Below are 19,614 nucleotides of genomic sequence, written 5' to 3' on the forward strand. Positions count from 1 at the left end.
CTCCAGAAATTCACTAACTTCCTATTTATCTTTCTTTTATCTCCATTCTATGAAATTTTCCAGCAATAATACTATTCTCCAGAAACGCATTCTAGGTGAGACCTTTTTTTTTTTTTGAGACAGAGCTTCGCTCTGTCACCCAGTATGGAGTGCAGTGGGACGATCTCGGCTCACTGCAACCTCCGCCTCCCGGGTTCAAGTGATTCTCCTGCGTCAGCCTCCCAAAGTGCTGGGATGATTACAGGCATGAGCCACCGCGCCAGGCCTAAGTGAGACCTTTTTTAGTCTCCATATTTGAGAAAAAACATAGTAATAAATGCTTTTTTTGTCCAAACACACTAACGTGTGACTTCTGGAGAGTGACTGAAATTCAGATACTGGAAGTCTACTATGGTTTGAAGGTTTGTGTTCCCTCTAAATCTCATGTTTTGAAACATAATCACCAATGTCACAGTGTTAAGAAGTGGGGCTGGCTGGGCAGAGTGGCTCATGCCGATAATCCCAGCACTTTGGGAGGCCGAGGCCGGCAGATCACAAGGTCAGGAGATGGAGACCATCCTGGCCAACATGGTGAAACCCCATCTCTACTAAAATACAAAAATTACCTGGGCATGGTGTCATGCACCTGTAGTCCTGGCTACTCGGGAGGCTGAGGCAGGAGAATCGCTTGAACCTGGGAGGCAGAGGTTGCAGTGAGCCAAGATGGTGTCACTGCACTCCAGCCTGGGTGACAAGAGTGAAACTCCATCTCAAAAAAAAAAAAAAAAAAAAAAGAAGAAGTGGGGCTTTCCAGAGGTGATTAAGTCATGAGAGTGGAGCCCTCGTGAGTGGCATTAGGCTTGACTGACTTACAAAAAATCTTAACCAACTGTGTTCAGCCCTTTTCCCTTTCTGCCCTCTGCCATGTGAGGTCACAGTGTTCCTCCCTCCTGAGGATGCAGTGTTCATGAAAGCAAACACTGGGCCCTCACCAGGCAACAAACCTGCTGGTGCCTTCATCTTGGACTTCCCAGCCTTCGGAACTGTAAGAAATAGATTTCTGGGGTTTTTAAAAATAAATTGCTCAGTCTGTGGTATTTTGTTATAGCAGCAGAAACAGACTAAGATGGGGGGTCAGATAGGATACTTTTTTTTTGAGACAGAGTCTCACTATGTCACCCAGGGTAGAGTACAGTGGGGTGATCTTGGCTCACTGCAACCTCCACCTCCCAGGTTCAAGCGATTCTCCTGCCTCAGCCTCCCAAGTATCTGAGATTACAGATGTGCACCACCATGCCCGGCTAATTTTTGTATTTTTAGTAGAGGTGGGGTTTCACCATGTTGGCCAGGCTGGTCTTGAACTCCTGACCTCAGGTGATCTATCCATCTCAGCCTCCCAGTGTGCCGGGATTGCAGGTGTGAGCCATTGCACTCGGCCTACTTTTTATTGAGAGACTAAGGGATACTATGCCTTCCACAGAATTCAAACTTTGACACTCAACAACAAAAGCAAAAAATTTTGTGTCTCATTCGCTTTTGAGATTATTTGTAAAATGTAGACATCACTGAATGCCAAATGCCAAGAATAAAATTTCTTCTAAATTCATCATGAGTGGCTTCTGGTAAAATAATATGGCCTGCCAAAATCGCCTTTAATATTACAATTCACAAATTATCAAATCTCTTGTTTTTGTCTTTTGATATTTCATTTACTGTTTCCAAGCTTTTAGATAAGTTATAATTCTTCTGAAGATATCATAACTGCTTGTTTCTGTTTTCACTACTTTGTTATGACTTGATTTATATGTTTAACTGTTAAATCTCAAGTTTTTGGGGGGCCAGGTGCTGTGGCTCACACCTGTAATTCCAGCACTTTGGGAGGCCGAGGTAGGTGGATCACCTGAGGTTAGAAGTTTGAGACCAGCCTGGCCAACATGGTGAAACCCTGTCTCTATTAAAAATATGAAAACTAGCCAGGCATGGTGACAATGCCTGTAATCCCAGCTACTTGGGAGGCTGAGGGAGGAGAATCACTTGAACCCAGGAGGCGGAGGTTGCAGTGAGCCGAGATCATGCCACTGCACCCCAACCTGGGCAACAGAGCAAAACTCCATCTCAAATTAATTAATTAATTAATTAATAAGAATAAGATTTGTTTGGCATAGTGTAAGTTAAATTGTTTTTGATATTGCTAGCATGAAAAAATAAATTTACAAGGGGTTTTACTTCTCTGCAAAGCAGATAATTTGCATGTTTTGTAAACTGCTTAGCATGGTATAATGTGAGATAATTTAAGCCAGAGGAAAAAGATTTTTCTCACTCCACCACTCCCTTGGAAAATATTTAAAATACGGTGGTCATATTTCTAATTTCCCTTTGAAGGTACTTTTGGATAGATTCCAGGAAAACGACCCTTTGTAAAACAGATGAATGTTTCATCTAAAAATTTGGTCTGCTTATAAAAAGTTAACTACCAAACATGTTTAAGTGTCCATGTTAGTTACTGTGGTACAAATTATATTCAGTAGAAGTTTCACGCTGAGAAAAACCAGGAAGTGCATAAGATGAATACATTCATGGTGATTATGCTCTTCAGGAGCTAGAAAGTAACTACTTAAGAAGATTATGCATGAGAGTAATTGCTGTTTAATGGAGAAAAACTGGGGAAAATAATTATAAGAGTAAAGAAGACCTTTCCTAACCATCTGTCATTTAAAAATCAGAAACGAAAAAAGGAAACATAGCATGTTTTTCGGAAAGACTTGGAAATGATGCCAAAAGGCAATACTCTGGTGGTGCACACACAAAAGCTCTCAGAAGAGTCTCAGATTACTATATAAAAACAGTCTAAACACCCAAGGTGTATTTACTATTACAGTTAGTCACCTTTATTTGACATTTCTGTGTAGCCAAGAGGAGGGAACAAACCCAACTGAGATATCCATCACTGGAACCAGGAAACACCAATAAGAAGACATTTTCTCCCACTAGAATTAAAAAAAAGGTGACTATAGGGAAAAACAGTCTTTTTTTTTTTTTTTTTTTTTTGAGATGGAGTTTTGCTCTCGTTGCCCAGGCTGGAGTGCAATGGCACGATCTCGGCTCACTGCAACCTCTGCCTCCCAGGTTCAAGCAATTCTCCTGTCTCAGCCTCCCCAGTAGCTGGGATTACAGGCATGCGCCACCACACCCGGCTAATTTTGCATTTTTAGTAGAGACAGGGTTTCTTCATGTTGGTCAGGCTGGTCTCGACCTCCCGATCTCAGGTGATCCGCTCGCCTCGGCCTCCCAAAGTGCTAGGATTACAGGTGTGAGCCACCGCAGCCAGCCGAAAAGCAGTCTTCTATTTATCACTTTGAATTTCCTATTTTGTTGAATGCATTGAAGAAATATTAGTAAGCTAATAAAGGACTATATTGTTACAGGCTTTATTCCCATAACATTTTATTGGTGGTCTCTTCTGCTGAAGCAGGTATTCTTAAGGCTATAGATAGGCTGGGCGCTGGGGCTCACACCTATAATCCCAGCACTGTGGGAGGCTGAGGTAGGTGGATCACTTGAGGTCAGGAGTTCAAGACAAGCCTGGCCAATATGGTGAAACCCCATCTCTACTAAAAATACAAAAATTAGTCAGGCAAGATGGTGCATGCCTATAATTCCAGCTACTCAGGAGACTGAGCCAGGAGAATTGCTTGAACCCAGGAGGTGGAGGTTGCAGTGAGTCGAGATTGCACCACTGCATTCCAGCCTGGGTGACAGAGCGAGACTCCATCTAAAAAAAAAAAAAAAAAAAAAAAAAAGAGGGGGCCTATAGATATTAGCCTCTGAAATGTGCCTATCAGAGTCTCCAATCCTGACTTGGAGGAGCTGATGATCTGGATGTGGAGGAAGAAGCAACACCATTAATTATTCAGTGTGACTGGTTTGCTGTTGTTTAATGATACAGGAATTAATAACCAGACAAGACAATAATACAAGAGATGTGAGGCAGTATGTGATTAAGGGTGCAGCTGGAAGTAATCTCTCTTCTCTAAATTTCTGCAACACTTTAGCTGTGTTCCTTATGACACTTTCCCCTTTCTCTCTCTTGCTACTGTTATTTCTTGTCTTTTTCTCCTGACAACAGCGAACTACTGCAGGGCAATTCTATGTCTGATTCGTCCTTGATTCCCCACACAGAGCCTAGCCTAGGCCTGCAGAGCACTGCTGCCAGGAATTATTTATTTCAATAAAATGAGGGACATAGGGGATAAGTTTTGGGTGTGAAGAGGGGGAGGGGAAGGGTGTTGCTTGCTGTGCAGATTCTCACTTTGGGCAAAACTAGATTCTTTTTTTTTTGAAACAGGGTCTTACTCTGTTGCCCAGCCTCCCGAGTAGCTGGGACGCACCACCATGCCCAGCTAATTTGTGTGCGTGCGTGTGTGTGTGTGTGTGTGTATTTTTTATAGAGACAATGTCTCACCATGTTGCCCAGGCTGGTCTCAAACTCCTGAGCTCAAGCAATCTGCCCACCTTGGCCTCCCAGAGTGCTAAGATTACAGGCCTGAGCCACTGAGCCCAGCCTTTATGTATGTGTGTCTGTGTGTATATAAAAAATTATCTGGAAAGCTTTAAAAAAGATACAGAAATATCCAGGCAGAGAGACACTCACTGCAAGCTCTGCCTCCCGGGTTCACGTCATTCTCGTGCCTCAGCCTCCCAAGTAGCTGGGACTACAGGCACCCACCACCACGCCAGGCTAATTTTTTGTATTTTTAGTAGAGACGGGGTTTCACTGTATTAGCCAGGATGGTCTCGATCTCAGCCTCCCAAAGTGCTGGGATTACAGGCGTGAGCCACCACACCCGGCCATGAATTAATATTTATGAAGTATTTGAAACACTGTCTAGCACAAAGTAAGGACTCAACGAGTTCAGCTTTTATTATTTTTTAAAAAGTATTTTCTGTATTGTAGCCCCTTGATCTAGATGAGAAAGTTGAGCTTAAACAGGTTAAGTCAAAGACTGCAATCTGGTCACTCACTGTTGGCTTGCCTGGTTTAAACAAATGTTTAAATGGATTGCAACCATTTGGAACCTGAGAGGTTTCATATGAATATGAAGAATTCTGGCTTATTTGAGTAACAGGATAATCTCTTAGCACTGGGCCAGCATTCCTGCAAGGCACCCATTGGCTCTTGCTGACCAGTGGCTTCTCGTTGCAGATGGAGCCCGCACTCTCCAGTTCATCACCACCCCAGCATCCCTACTCTTGCATCTAACAGTTTCCGCTATTTTGCACCACCTGCCTGGCCCTTATGGGCAACTCAAGGAAGAAAGGAAAGAAGAGATAGAGGAAAAATGGATTCAACAAATGAAAGTGTTCTTTCTGACTACTGCTGTGTTTACAAACATTTTAATCATCAAAACATGCTTTATTTGATAGAAAGATCAAATCTGCCTTTGTAAAACAAGAGACTATTTTAATCATTAAGACAACACACATGTTTGATTTGGAGGCGTGTTCTCATTCAAAACCTTGCAAAATATAATTTCTTCTTGTCTGGGAGATGGTGTCTTTCTTCGGGGAGAACCTTGAGAGAAATGTCTATGAATGTGTCTGTAGATTGAGGATAGGCCAACAAACATATTTTGAAATATTTTTTCTTTCTTTTAAAAAAATAGATACTTTTAAAAGAAAATGCTTATTTAAATTACATAGCTCTTTTTTTCACTCTCAGTCATCATTTGTGGTTTCAGTCAGTACTACATTTATTCCCCAGAGCTAGGATTGCTGTGTTTTTAGAAAGGGAGCCTGTTTGAAGGGACTCTATACTCTTGCAGTAATTAAAATCCTTTTAGGAGTCTTTGACTTTGACTTACTGCTTTGTTTTAAATTATTGAAATTATTCAACTTCCCCATTCTAACCCACGGAAGGCTGTTGTTGTTCTCATTTATAATGGCACAATATAAGTTTAAAGATAGCTGTCTCCACATGAATGCATCTGCAAATCCATCTCTCTTCTCTCTTCTGCCATCCAGGTTAAGAAGCTCCACTGCGCTTTGTCCATTGCAAGTTGAGAAGTGAGGCCCCAGCTGTCACATACAGTGAGTGAAGAAGCTGAGCTTCCCTCAACGCCTGGGCCTGTATGAATTTTTTTTTTTTTTTTTTTTTTGGAGACGGAGTCTCACTTTGTTGCCCAGGCTGGAGTGCAATGGCACTATCTCAGGCCACTGCAACCTCTGCCTCCCAGGTTCAAGCGATTCTTCTGCCTCAGCCTCCTGAGTAGCTGGGATTACAGAAGTGCACCATTACAGCTTGCTAATTTTTGTATTTTTAGTAGAGAAGGGTTTTCACCATGTTGGCCAGGTTGGTCTCGAACTCTTGGCCTCAGGTGATCCGCCCGCACAGCCTCCCAAAGTGTTGGGATTACAGGCGTGAGCCACTGCGCCCGGCCTTAGGTAAGTTCCTTTTTTTTTTTTTTTGAGACGGAGTTTCACTCTGTTGCCCAGGCTGGGGTGCAATGGCATGATCTCGGCTCACCGCAACCTCTGCCTCCTGGGTTCAAGCAATTCTCCTGCCTCAGCCTCCTGAGGAGCTGGGATTACAGGCATGCACCATCATGCCCGGCTAATTTTGTATTTTTAGTAGAGACGGGGTTTCTCCATGTTGAGGCTGGTCTCAAACTCCTGACCTCAGGTGATTCACCCGCCTCGGCCTCCCAAACTGCTGGGATTATAGGCATAAGCCACCGCGCCCGGCCTTAGGTAAGTTTCTTAAAGGAAATGCAGACTTCAATTACTTTCACCTTGGCTGTATATAAAAAATTATCTGGGAAGCTTTAAAAAAGATCCAGAAATACCCAGGCAGAGAACAAAGGGAATTTGCTCCCTGCTCCCTTAGAGACATTAAATTGAAATTGCTTGGATCAGCCAGGCACGGCGGCTCATGCCTGTAATCCCAGCACTTTGGGAGGCTGAGGCGGGCACATCATGAGGTCAGGCGTTCGAGACCAGCCTGTCCAACACGGTGAAACCTGTCTGTACTGAAAATACAAAAATTAGCCAGGCCTGGTGGCACATGCCTGTAGTCCCAGCTACTTGGGAGGCTGAGGCAGGAGAATCCCTTGAACCCAAGAGGTAGAGGTTGCAGTGAGCCAAGATCGTGCCACTGTACTCCATCCTAGGCAACAGAGCAAGACTGCATCTCAAGAAAAAAAAAAAGAAATTACTTGGATCCTAAGAATGGGTATTTTTTTTAATTGTGGTAGAACAAACAACAGCAACAACAAAAAAACGCACAACGTAAAATTTGCCATCTTAATCATTTTTAAGTGTACAGTTTAGTAGTGTTAAGTAAATTTACATTGTGATGCAACAGATTTCCAGAAGCTTTTCATCTTGCAAAGCTGAATCCCTACACCTTTTTTTTTTTTTTTTTTTGAGACAGAGTCTTGCTCTGTTGCCCAGGCTGGAGTGCAGTGGCATGATCTTGGCTCACTGCAACCTCCACCTCCTGGGTTCAAGCGATTCTCCTGCCTCAACCTCCCAAGTAGCTGAGAGTAAGGCGCTCACCACCATGCCCGGCTAATTTTTGTATTTTTAGTAGAGATGGGGTTTCACCATATTGGCCAGGCTGGTCTCAAACACCTGACCTCGTGATCTACCCGCCTCGGCCTCCCAAAGTGCTGAGATTACAGGCATAAGCCACTGCGCCCGGCCATCTACACCCATTAAACAACTCCCCACTTCCCCTTCTCATCAGGTGCTGGCAACCACCATTCTACTTTTTGTTTCTATGAGTTTGACTACTTTAGATGCCTCATATAAGTGAAATCATACAGTATTTGTCTTTTGTGGCTTATGTCACATAGCATAATGTCCTCAAGGCTCATCTATGTTGTAGCATGTGTCAGCATTTCCTTCCTTTTTAAGGCTGAATAATATTTCATGGTACGTACATAACACATTTTCTTTTTTCTTTTTTTTTTTGAGATGGAGTCTTGCTGTGTCGCCCAGGCTGGAGTGCAGTGGCGTGATCTCGGCTCACTGCAAGCTCCGCCTCCTGGGTTCTTGCCATTCTCCTGCCTCAGCCTCCCAAGTAGCTGGGACTACAGGCGCTCGCCACCATGCCCGGCTATTTTTTTGTATTTTTAGTAGAGACGGAGTTTCACCGTGTTAGCCAGGATGGTCTCCAACTCCTGACCTCGTGATCCACCAACCTCGGCTGGGATTACAGGCCTGAGCCACCACGCCGGCCCATAACACATTTTCTTTATCGATTCATCTATCGATGGGCATTTAGATTGTTTCCACATCTTGGCTATTGTGAATAATGCCGGGGTGAACATGGGTGTGCAAATACTATATATCTTTCCTTTTTAAGGCTGAATAATATTTCTTGGTATGTACATAACACATTTTCTTTATCCATTCATCTATCGATGGGCATTTAGGTTGTTTCCACATCTTGGCTATTGTGAATAACGCCGCTGTGAACACGGGTGTGCAAATACTATATCTCTTTGAAATCCTGCTTTCAATTCTTTTGGATATGTAGCTAGAAGTAGAATTGCTGGATCATATGTTAAGTATATTTTTAATTTTTTGAGGAACTTCCATTCTGTTTTCCATAGCAGCTGCATCATTTTACATTCCCACGAACTGCACAAGTGTTCCAAAGAGCATGGGTATTTTTAAAAGCTCTTTCAGTAGAAGCTTTCTGTTTATTATCTTTTGCTTTCCTTTTTTCTTCTCCACCATTACCTTAACACAACCTATCTCGTTTACCTGGACTAACTGATTGGTTTGATAAATTTTCCTATATTTTCTTTCTTTTTCTTATTGGAGGCGATACAATTCAATTCTTTTACAATAGACTTTAAATTTTTTTACACGTATATTATTTAATAAATACTTTTTTCTCTTTTTTTTTTTTTTTTTGGAGACAGGGTCTCTCTCTGTCACCCAGGCTGGAGTGCAGTGGCATGATCTCAGCCCACTGCAACCTCAGCCACCTGGGTTCAAGCAATTATCATGCCTCAACCTCTGGAATAGCTGGGATTACAGGGGCGCACCATCACCCCCGGCTAATTTTTATATTCTAACAGAGACAGGGTTTCACCATGTTGGCCAGGCTGGTCTCAAACTCCTGACCTCAGGTGATCCACCCACCTTGGCCTTCCAAAATGCTGGGATTACAGGCCTGAGCCACCGTGCCCGGCCATAAAATACTTTTTTCTAACAAAATCGAAAGTTTTTACTGTTTTTTCTTTTCTTAAACACATTGTGACGTATTAAAGTATGCTTGAATAATTTATTGTATAACTTTACCTCCCACCCCATCATAATAGTGTTCTCTGGAGGTTTAACATTCTTTTAAGCACCCTCACCCCATAACTGTTTTTCACAATTGTTAAATAAATTTTCTAACATAATTTGTCAATTTGTGTGCTAAAATCTGTTTTCCGTGTACAAATGTATCTGAGTCACTTTTCTTCTTGCCACTTTCAAGAAGACCTGCTACAATACAAGGTATTTTTCAAAATATGTAACAGCCAGGGCCCTGGAATCAAACTGAGCTGACCAATCAGCAGGCTCTCTTCCTGCGGGGGCGGGGAGCGGTTGAAGAAGGATGGGAGGATTGTGGTGAGGGGGAGCCGTGGAGAGACAGGCACTCACAAGCCAGAACAGGGCACTGACCCATCAGAATGGGCACTGACTTTAAGCAGCCTCTTTGTTCACACCAGTGCTGCCGTCCTTGGTGACCATCAGCCCCAGCCTTCAGAGAGAGAAAGAGAGACAGAGACAGAGACTATATGCAGTATTTTTTTTTTCTTTTTCCTGAGATGGAGTCTCACTGTGTCACCGAGGATGGAGTGCAGTGTCGCAATCTTGGCTCACTGCAACCTCAGCCTCCCGGGTTCAAGCGATTCTTCTGCCTCAGCCTCCTGAGTAGCTGAGATTACAGGTGCATGCCACCATGCCCGGCTAATTTTTGTATTTTTAGTAGAGACGGGGTTTCACCATGTTGGCCAGGCTGGTCTCGAACTCCTGACCTTGTGATCCACCTGCCTCAGCCTCCCAAAGTGCTGGGGTTACAGGCATGAGCCACCGTGCCTGACCTTTTTTTTTTTTTTTAAAGATATTTACTGTTCTAGTGTGGAATATTGCCTGGAATGGAATGGTTTAAATATTACCATAGTGTAGTTTAAAATATAAAATAGGATTTGGAATCTTATTGTGATAAATTTCTGTATATGATGTATGTGGTTGTCTCCCTCCGCCAAAGTAAGGAACCCTTTTACAGCATGTTGAGAAGGTATTTTTTGGTATGAAAGGGGGACAGGCCTTTACATCTTTCAGGGATACACATAAGCATAAGGATTCAGCCTCTATGGGGAAGGTGTGTGCAGCACTCAAAGTTGCTAACATCAACTTCCTAACTTTCAGCCAGGGTTCTTACTGCATTTGGCATGGCTCTGATGAGAGAGTGGAGAATTTCTGACAGCATAGCACACTAGCTTCTGACAGATGGGGTTAAGTTGCCAAAAATGACAATCAGGGATTCAATAAGAAATTTTGGTCATTAAATCGATTTTATATTATTGCTTTTTTTTTTTTTTTTTTGAGACGGAGTCTCCCTGTGTCGCCCAGGCTGAAGTGCAGTGGTGCAGTCTCACTCACTGCAAGCTCCGCCTCCCGGGTTCATGCCATTCTCCTGCCTCAGCCTCCTGAGTAGCTGGGACTACAGGGGCCTGCCACCATGCCCAGCTAATTTTTTTTGTATTTTTAGTAGAGATAGGGTTTCACCGTGTTAGCCAGGATGGTCTCGATCTCCTGACTTCGTGATCCACCTGCCTCGGCCTCCCAAAGTGCTGGGATTACAAGTGTGAGCCACCGCGCTCGGCCTATATTATTACTTTTTATTAGGTTGGTGCAAAAGTAAATGTGGTTTTTGCCATTACTTTTAATGGGAAAAACCGCAATTACTAATCTTCCGTTTGTCATAGGACTTTAAAACCATATATTTCCCCTCAATTTTATTCTCCTTTTGGTTTAATAGTTGTTAAGACATTTTTTCATAATTAGCACAGTATGTTTGACTGCAGACCCTTTTTTTTTTTTTTTTTTGAGACGGAGTCTCACTCTGTCACCCAGGTTGGAGTGCAGTGGTGTGATCTCGGCTCACTGCAACCTCTGCCTCCTGGGTTCAAGCAATTCTCTGCCTCAGCCTCCCAAGTAGCTGGGATTACAGGCGTCCGCCACCATACCCGGCTAATTTTTGTATTTTTAGTAGAGATGGGGTTTCACCATATTGGCCAGGCTGGTCTTGAACTCCTGACCTCATGATGCATCCACCTCGGCCTCCCAGAGTGTTGGGATTACAGGCGTGAGCCACTGCACCCGGCCAACTGCAGACAAAGTTATGATACTTCTAGGCTATAAATCTTTAGAATTCTGTGAATTTCAATATTATTTGAAGTAGTTCTTCAGTTATATTTACATATGTTGTAAATATATATATATATATATATATATATATATATATTTTTTTTTTTTTTTTTTTTGAGACGGAGTCTCGTTCTGTCACCCAGGCTGGAGGGCAGTGGCACGATCTCAGCTCACTGTAACCTCCACCTCCCAGGTTCAAGCGATTCTCCTGCCTCAGCCTCCCGAGTAGCTGGGACTACAGGCGCCACCATGCCCGGCTAATTTTTTGTATTTTTAGTACAGTCAGGGTTTCACCATATTGGCCAGGCTGGTCTTGAAATCCTGACCTTGTGATCTGCCCTCCTCGGCCTCCCAAAGTGCTGGGATTACAGGCGTGAGCCACCGTGGCCAGCCTTGAATATATTTTTAGTTTAGGGAATCTTCCAAAATACAAAGCACTCCTAGTTAGGTATCAGTGAGTTTGAATTATTGGTAAGAGTTTGAATTATTGACAAAATGCCAAAAATATTGTTTGATTTCACATAACAAGCTTGTTAGATATATTTTTGTGGAAAAGAATGAAAAATGGTTTTATTTTGCACCCACATTGCAGTAGTTCAGCAGTGTAGATACTGTTTTCCCTCAGCACCTTGAAGATACTACTTCACTGGCTTCTTTGTGGCATTTAATCTCTCAATTGAGAAGACAGTTGACTAATTGTCATTCCTAATTGTCATTCCTTTGCTCCTAATCTGTCTTTTATCTCTGATAGCCCTTAAGATTTTCTTGTTGTTCTTGATGTTTTAAAATTGTTCTGTAATGATTTGGCTTCTTTATCCTTTTGGTATGTAACACGCTTTTGTAAAAATTAACTTTCCCTTCATTTTCTCCTGGAATCCTCACAGTCTAACGTCAATACTCCTTCATGGTTCTCTCATGTTATTCTTGTCTTTGACCATGATTGTGTGAAGTCCTCCCCTCCAATTCAGTAATCCCCTTTTCAAAGGTATCCAGCCTAGAGTTCATTTTTTCAATTGATTTTTTAATTTTAATGTCTATTTTTAAATTTCTACTTGTTTCTCTTTCAGATCTACCTATTTCTTGTTGCATAATAGATTTTTTTTTGCTTCCTATTTGCTTGTTCTTTTTTAATGGAGGAAATATCTCTATCTCTTTAAGTATCCTAAGCACATTTATTTTCAATTCCTTATCAAGCAGTTCCACAAAATTATTATAATTATTATTTTATTTATTTATTTATTTGAGACAGTCTGGCTTTGCAGCCCAGGCTGGAGTGCGATGGCATAATCATGGCTCACTGCAGCCTCAATCTCCCGGGCTCAAGGCATCCTCCCGCCTCAGCCTCCTGAGTAGCTGGAACTGCAGAAGTGAGCCACTGTGCATGGCTAATTTTTTTATTTTTAGGTTAAGGTCAAGGTCATGCTGTGTTGCTGAGGCTGGTCTCAAACCCTTGACCTCTCAAAATGCTGAGATTACAGAGAAGAGCCACCATGCCAGGCCTAATTTTAACTAGAGTGAATTCATACTCTTAACTGGGGAGGTGGAATTCATATTCTTTCTTATGTAAAATATTTTAATGTGGTTTTGAATTTTACTTTGCAGGAGGCTATTCTGAGCAGAAAGAGCTGTAGTCTTTTATTTTCTGTTTCCTGTTCCCTCCATGCTCACTTTTTCCTACCTGACAGTATTGCCTTTACCTCCACATGGCAGCCTGGGACCTCAGTTCAGAGCAGAAACACAGCATTTTTTCTTGGTATTCCTGCCTTAGTTTGATATTGTAAATATCACAATATCACAATTGTCACAACATTTACAATATCAAAATAAGCCAGGAATACCAAAAAATTAAACCCACATGTCAATTTGAGAAAAATTTATAGGACTATGACATGCATTAATTTGTCTTCTAAAAAATCTTCCATTAAAGTGTTGTATTTTTTTCTTTTGATTCCTTCATTACATCAGGCTCTGTCCTTGAATTCCTTTCCCATCTTCTGCTTCCATACCTTTAAGCCATGGGGTATCCAACTTTTTTTCAGGCTCCATCACAAGAGGGAGCCCCATTGCTAGTCCCCATCCTCAAAGCCTCTGCGTGATGTTGTCTACTGTTACTCTTCACTACCCTGTGGGAGCCAAAGCCCTGGACATAAGAACAGAAGGCAAGTAGGTATACAGCTGCAATTCAGCTCTCTTCACTGTGTAATTTTTGTTTGTTTCTGTGCCACAGAGGTATGTACGTTTTTGCATTCTGAACTAACTACATCATTTTTATTTCCCCTTTTTTATAAACTTTTTATTGCTACATGTTTGGAATGAGGGTAGGGGCTGAAGGTGGGAGAGGGGGAGAAATTGACCAAAGAATGAGGCTGACACACCTCTTAGGCAGATATCAATTGTGTCCTTCTGCTTATATTCAAGGTGCAAAAGTTTAGGCTGGGCGCAGTGGCTCACACCTGTAATCCCAGCACTTTGGGAGGCCGAGGCCGGTGGATCACCTGAGGTCAGGAGTTCAAGACCAGCCTGGCCAATATGGCGAAACCTGTCTCTACTAAAACTACAAAAATTAGCTGGGCATGGCGGCACGTGCCTATAACCCCAGCTACTGGGCTGAAGTAGGAGAATCACTTGACCCTGGGAGGCGGAGGTTGCAGTGAGCAAAGATCGAATCGGCTTCAAAAAAAAAAAAAAGTTATGTTCATTTTTTATTTGACAAGCTATTTTATACATTTTAGTTTTTATTTCTTTTTTAAATTTACCAATAAAGCAAAGGCAAACCATTTAGTTTTTATTTCTGATTACAAAAGCAATAACTTTTTTTTTTTTTTTTCTTTTTTTTTTTTTTTGAGATGGAGTTTCACTCTGTTGCCCAGATTGGAGAACAGTGGCCGATCTCAGGTCAATGCAACCTCTGCCTTCCAGGCTCAAGCAGTTCTCCTGCCTCAGCCTCCCGAGTAGCTGGGACTACAAGTGCACATCACCACGCCTGGCTAATTTTTGTATTTTTAGTAGAGACAGTGTTTCACCATGTTGGCCAGGCTGGTCTCAAACTCCTGATCTCATGTGATGTACCCACCTCAGCCTCCCAAAGTGTTAGATTACAGGCATGAGCTACTGCTCCAGCCACAATAACTCTTAATTATAGAAAATTATTAAAATTCAGGAAAGGAGAAATACTAGTTTAGAGAATGGTGAGTGGGATGCTTTATGGATGCCTCCTCTTTGAAGATGTGCCTTGAAAGAGGAGGATTTTAGCAGTAGGATTGTGAAGAAAGAAAAGAAAAAGGGTATTTTAAAGGGGGGGATGGAATCCAGATATGGAAATAAAAATATTCCACATGCTTCACAGGATGTTGCTGGGTACATGGAGTAAGGGTGGATATATAGATAAAGCTGGAAATGATTCGGGATGAGATTTTGCAGATATTGAATGTAAAGGAGTTTGGCATTTATTCTTCAGGAAATGAAAATTCAAGTTCTTAGCCGGGTGCGGTGGCTCGCACCTGTAATCCCAACACTTTGGGAGGCCGAGGTGGGTGGATCACATGAGGTCAGGAGTTCAAGACCAGCCTGGCCAATATGGCGAAACCCTATCTCTACTAAAAATACAAAAATTAGCCAGGTGTGGTGGCAGGCGCCTGTAACCCCAGCTACTTGGAAGGCTGAGACAGGAGAATTGCATGAACCCTGGAGTCGGAGGTTGCAGTGAGCCGAGATCGCTCCACAACACTCCAGCCTCAGGGACAGAGTAAGATTCTGTCTCAAAAAAAAAAAAAAAAAAAAAAAAAAGAAAAGAGAAAAGAAAAGAGAAGAAAAGAAAATCCAAGTTCCATATTTGTCCTTAAAAAAATTCCTGTAAAGCTCTTTTTGTACCACAGCACAGAGAAGCACAATGTTACATTTGAGAATCACTATTTTGTTCATTTCCTGTGAGACAAGTTTGAATGTAAAATGGGAGGAAAAGCCTTGTATTTTAGTTCCTTCCTGATTCCCCCTGGCCCCCCTGAAGGTAGGCAGGGGCTGGGGAGGAGAGGAGTTATGTATTCACTCTCCGCAATTAAACACAAGTAAAAATCCATATCTATCCCCAACGGTAAAACAGTCACATAACCAGCACTTTAACTATAATCACAGAAAACGTTTTACATTGCTACAAGAGCAAATGTATAATCAAGAAAGATTCTTTGTAATGTTATCTAAAACCTGAAAAGTCTGTAGTTTTGGTTGATTGCCCAGTACATTGAAAGGACTTTTTTTTTTTAATCTTGGGTTTCGTTTTTCTTGGTCTAAGGCCCAATCTATTGCCAGTGGTGAGTCAGAAGGGATGCCTGAAATAGTTCTTGTGAAGTTATCTGTGTTCCTGTCTTATCATCCACGGATGGCCAAGACTTTCTCATTCATCTATATATTTCACAAAAGCCTAGCACAGTGTTCCCATGTTAAATGTTTGCTGAATTATAAAAAAGCATTTCAACTAATCTGTCAAATATGTGAGACAACAAATAGCATTTTGTGATGTGTTCACGGATATGTAGTTAGAATCGTAAGGCCAAAAGTAACCCAGAAGTTTCCTTTTCCCTTTTCCTTGACCAGGAAGAACTGTCCAATGAACGCTATTCACTGATGAGGGAAAAGTTCTGGTAAAGATATTTTTTCAAAGTATTAAGATAAAACTAAAAGCACTTATTTTCAGAAAGTGATTATCATTAGCTAGAAAAATCTAATCACAAGGCCAGACATGGTGGCTCATGCCTGTAATCCCAGCACTCTGGGAGGCCGAGGCGAGCGGATCATGAGGTCAGGAATTCCAGACCAGCCCGGTCAACATGGTGAAACCCTGTCTTTATTAAAAATACAAAAATTAGCTGGGTGTGGTGGCAGGTGCCTGTAGTCCCAGCTACTTGGGAGGCTGAGGCAGGAGAATCGCTTGAACCTGGCAGGCGGAGGTTGCAGTGAGCTGAGATCGCATCACTGCACTCCAGCCTGAGCGACAGAGCAAGACGCCATCTCAAAATAAATAAATAAATAAATAAAAATAGAATTACACATAAAATAGTGGTATCCAGCTTACGGGACGAAAGAGTAATAGAAGCTGGATCCCTCCAGAAACCTAAAAAAAATGAAGAAAAAAAGGCCGGGCGTGGTGGCTCACACCTGTAATCCCAGCACTTTAGGAGGCCAAGGCGGGTGGATCACAAGGTCTAGAGATCGAGACCATCCTGGCCAATATGGTGAAACCCCGTCTCTACTAAAAATACAAAAATTAGCCAGGTGTGGTGGCATGTGCCTGTAATCTCAGCTATTCAGGAGGCTGAGGCAGGAGAATCACTTGAACCCAGGAGGCGGAGGCTGCAGTAAGCCAGGATTATGCCACTGCACTCCAGCCTGGCAACAGAGCGAGACTCCTTCTCAAAAAAAAAAAAGAACAAAAAATAGATTGGTGAATATACTATATCATACTATGCTACACTACACTATACTATATTGTGCTGTATTATAACATACCATATTATAATATACTAGTGATGCTAAAACTAAAGGAGCCCACAGATTTTGAAGAATATCATCATGAGGTAGAGTGAGAGAAGGTATGAGGGGTCTTCTCACTTGTTACTTCTGTCCCTCTCTCCACAGGCAGTGGTGGCTGAGAGGAAGAACTGACACCTTTGTGCTATCAGAGCACTTTGCAGAGGAGCTGTTAGTGGCCCTGTAGGAGTCTGCTGGCCATACATCTGGGTGTCAAATCAAGAGAGCATGAGAAGTTGGACAGGAAAGGTCCAAGGCAAAATGGTTACTAAAGGCCATCCCTGATCCTGACCCTAAAAGAAGAAAAGGCCCTTTGCTCTTGGCATGCTTTTGCAGGAGTGTCTCAGTCTGTTTGGGCTGCTATAACATTGACTGGGTGATCTGCCTGCCTGGCCTCCCAAAGTGCTGGGGTTACAGGTGTGAGCCGCTGCACCAGGCCTTGAGGTCAGGAGTTCGAGACCAGCCTGGCCAACATGGTGAAACCTGTCTTTACTAAAAATACAGAAATTAGCCAGGCATGGAGGCGCATGCCTGTAATCCCAGCTACTGGGGAGGCTGAGGCAGGAGAATCGCTTGAACCCAGAAGGTGGAGGTTGCGGTGAGCCCAGATAGTGCCATTGCACTCTAGCCTGGCCAACAAGAGTGAAACTCTGTCTCAAAAAATAAATAAACAAACAAACAAACAACAACGATGTGTTTCTTCATGGTTCTGGAGGCTGGGAAGTCTTTGATCAAGACGCCAGCAGATGTGGTGTCTATGGAGAGCCTGTGTTCTGGTTAGTGAGCAATACCTTCTCTCCGTGTTCTCACGTGGTAGAAGGGGAGAGGCAGCCCTCTGGGGCCTCTTTCATGAGGGCACTAATTCCATTCATGAGGGCTCCCCTCTCATGACCTAATCACTTCCCAATGGGCCCACCTGCTAATACCATCCATCGCCTTGAGGATTAGGTTTTTAATATATGAATTCTGGGGGACAAAAACATTTTGATCATAGCCAGAAGGTAAATCGGTGTTGCTCTAAACTAAGGAAACAGAGAGGACTCTGGGAAATGCTCCTCCCTCCCTGGGGCTCCTAAGCTTCTCAAATATTTTCATCATTGCCATATATCTCTCCTCAACCACGCTACAGCCCTGGATTAGAACATAGCATAGGCCACGACTTTCAATTTGCTTATAATCTGGTGTAGAGATTCATTCATTCACTTAATATACATGCAGCACCTACAATGTGCCATATATATATGCCAGAAAGGCAGAATATTTGCCAAACAAAAGGTGCAACTACTACATGCAATGAGATTTGGGAAGCTGTCTCTGAGGGCTGGATAGCCTGGGAAGGCTTTATCAAAAACTCGTGATTTGAAGTGGGACTTGTAAAATGGGTGGGATTTAGACTGGAGGAGAAGGAGGAGGTAATGCTGGAAATACAGAGGTGTGAGTAGGAGACATGAGGGAATTCAAACTGGAAAGGGAGGTTCCAGGCCAAGCGTGGTGGCTCACGCCTGTAATCCCAGCACTTTGGGAGGCCGAGGCGGGCAGATCACTTGAGGTCAGGAGTTCAAGACCAGCCTCGCCAACATGGTGAAACACTGTCTCTACTAAAAATACAAAAATTAGCCGGGCATGGTTGCAGGCACCTGTAATCCCAGCTACTCGGGAGGCTGAGGCAGGAGAATCACTTGAACTGGGGAGGTGGAGGTTGCAGTGAGCCAAGATCATGCCACTGCACTCCAGCCTGGGTGACAGAGCAAGATTCTGCCTCAAACAAACAAACAACAAACAACAACAACAAAAATTTATACTTTAAAAGAGTGAATGCTGCTATGTAAATTCTATCTCGATTTTTTTAAAAAAATTAGACTATTTATTTATGATCCCTGAATGGAATTAAACTAAATGATAAAAATTTTCTTAAAATCAAGGTAGGAGTCACTTTTTAACCAAAGATTATATTCTTTTTTTTTCTCTTTTTTAACTTTTGTTTTAGGTTCAGGGGCTCATTATGCGGTTTTGTTATATAGGTAAACTCATGTCACGAGAATTTGGTGTACGAATATTTCATTACCCAGGTACTAAGTGTAGTACCTGATAGGTATTTTTAAAATATGGAACACTTCATGAATTTGCATGTCATCCTTATGCAGGGGACATGCTAATCTTCTCTGCATCATTCCAATTTTAGTATATGTGCTGCTGAAACTAGCACCAAAAGTTATATTCTACAGTGTAGGTCAAATGAAAATTGCATCTGATCTATGAATATTACTCTGGAAAAATCCCTTGAATTGTCCAGGGTATAGTAATAGTCAGGATTAATATATTCTTTACTGTATCTTAATAAACGCAGTGCAGCCAGTTTTTCCTCCAGCGTTGGAGTCCATCACTGTTGCTGTGGATCGGCAACAAATGAAGTCATTGGTTTGCATTTCAGGCCTCTACTGTATGAAAAATACAGGTTGTGTGAACATAGTTGACTTGTGAGAAATTAAAGACATAGATAATCCAATTTCCCTGAATTCTGTTTTTTGAGACTGAGTCTTGCTCTGTTGCCCAGGCTGGAGTGCAGTGGTATGAACTCCATACACTGCAACCTCCACCTCCTGGGCTCAAGTGATTCTCCTGCCTCAGCCTCTCGAGTAGCTGGGACTACAGGCATGCGCCACCACGCCTGATTTATTT

The 19,614-nt window shown here is 42.5% G+C and overlaps 1 long non-coding RNA gene and 1 pseudogene across 2 annotated transcripts, besides 1 other annotated feature; one reads left to right on the forward strand and one right to left on the reverse strand.

Annotated features, from left to right (window-relative positions):
* The first annotated feature begins 885 nt into the window (after positions 1-885).
* On the forward strand, positions 886-17,624 carry LINC01857 (long intergenic non-protein coding RNA 1857). 2 transcript variants are annotated; one of them, NR_135566.1, is made up of 4 exons: positions 886-1,024; positions 6,001-6,066; positions 13,452-13,575; positions 17,044-17,624. It is a non-coding gene; the product is annotated as a long intergenic non-protein coding RNA 1857 (long non-coding RNA). The 2 variants fall into 2 exon arrangements; NR_135567.1 differs by lacking the exons at positions 6,001-6,066; positions 13,452-13,575; positions 17,044-17,624 and adding an exon at positions 5,183-5,526 and having other exon boundaries at positions 932-1,024.
* Positions 11,759-12,531: an enhancer, noted in NCBI's record as "OCT4-NANOG hESC enhancer chr2:208537981-208538753 (GRCh37/hg19 assembly coordinates)". NCBI's record gives its function as "activates a minimal SCP1, AML or CMV promoter by ChIP-STARR-seq in naive H9 embryonic stem cells {active_cell/tissue: H9 hESC(naive)}" and the evidence as "EXISTENCE:reporter gene assay evidence [ECO:0000049][PMID:30033119]".
* Positions 19,035-19,141, reverse strand: RNU6-664P (RNA, U6 small nuclear 664, pseudogene; annotated as a pseudogene).

This window comes from Homo sapiens, chromosome 2 (assembly GCF_000001405.40).
Source record: "Homo sapiens chromosome 2, GRCh38.p14 Primary Assembly".
NCBI classification, from domain to species: domain Eukaryota; kingdom Metazoa; phylum Chordata; class Mammalia; order Primates; family Hominidae; genus Homo; species Homo sapiens.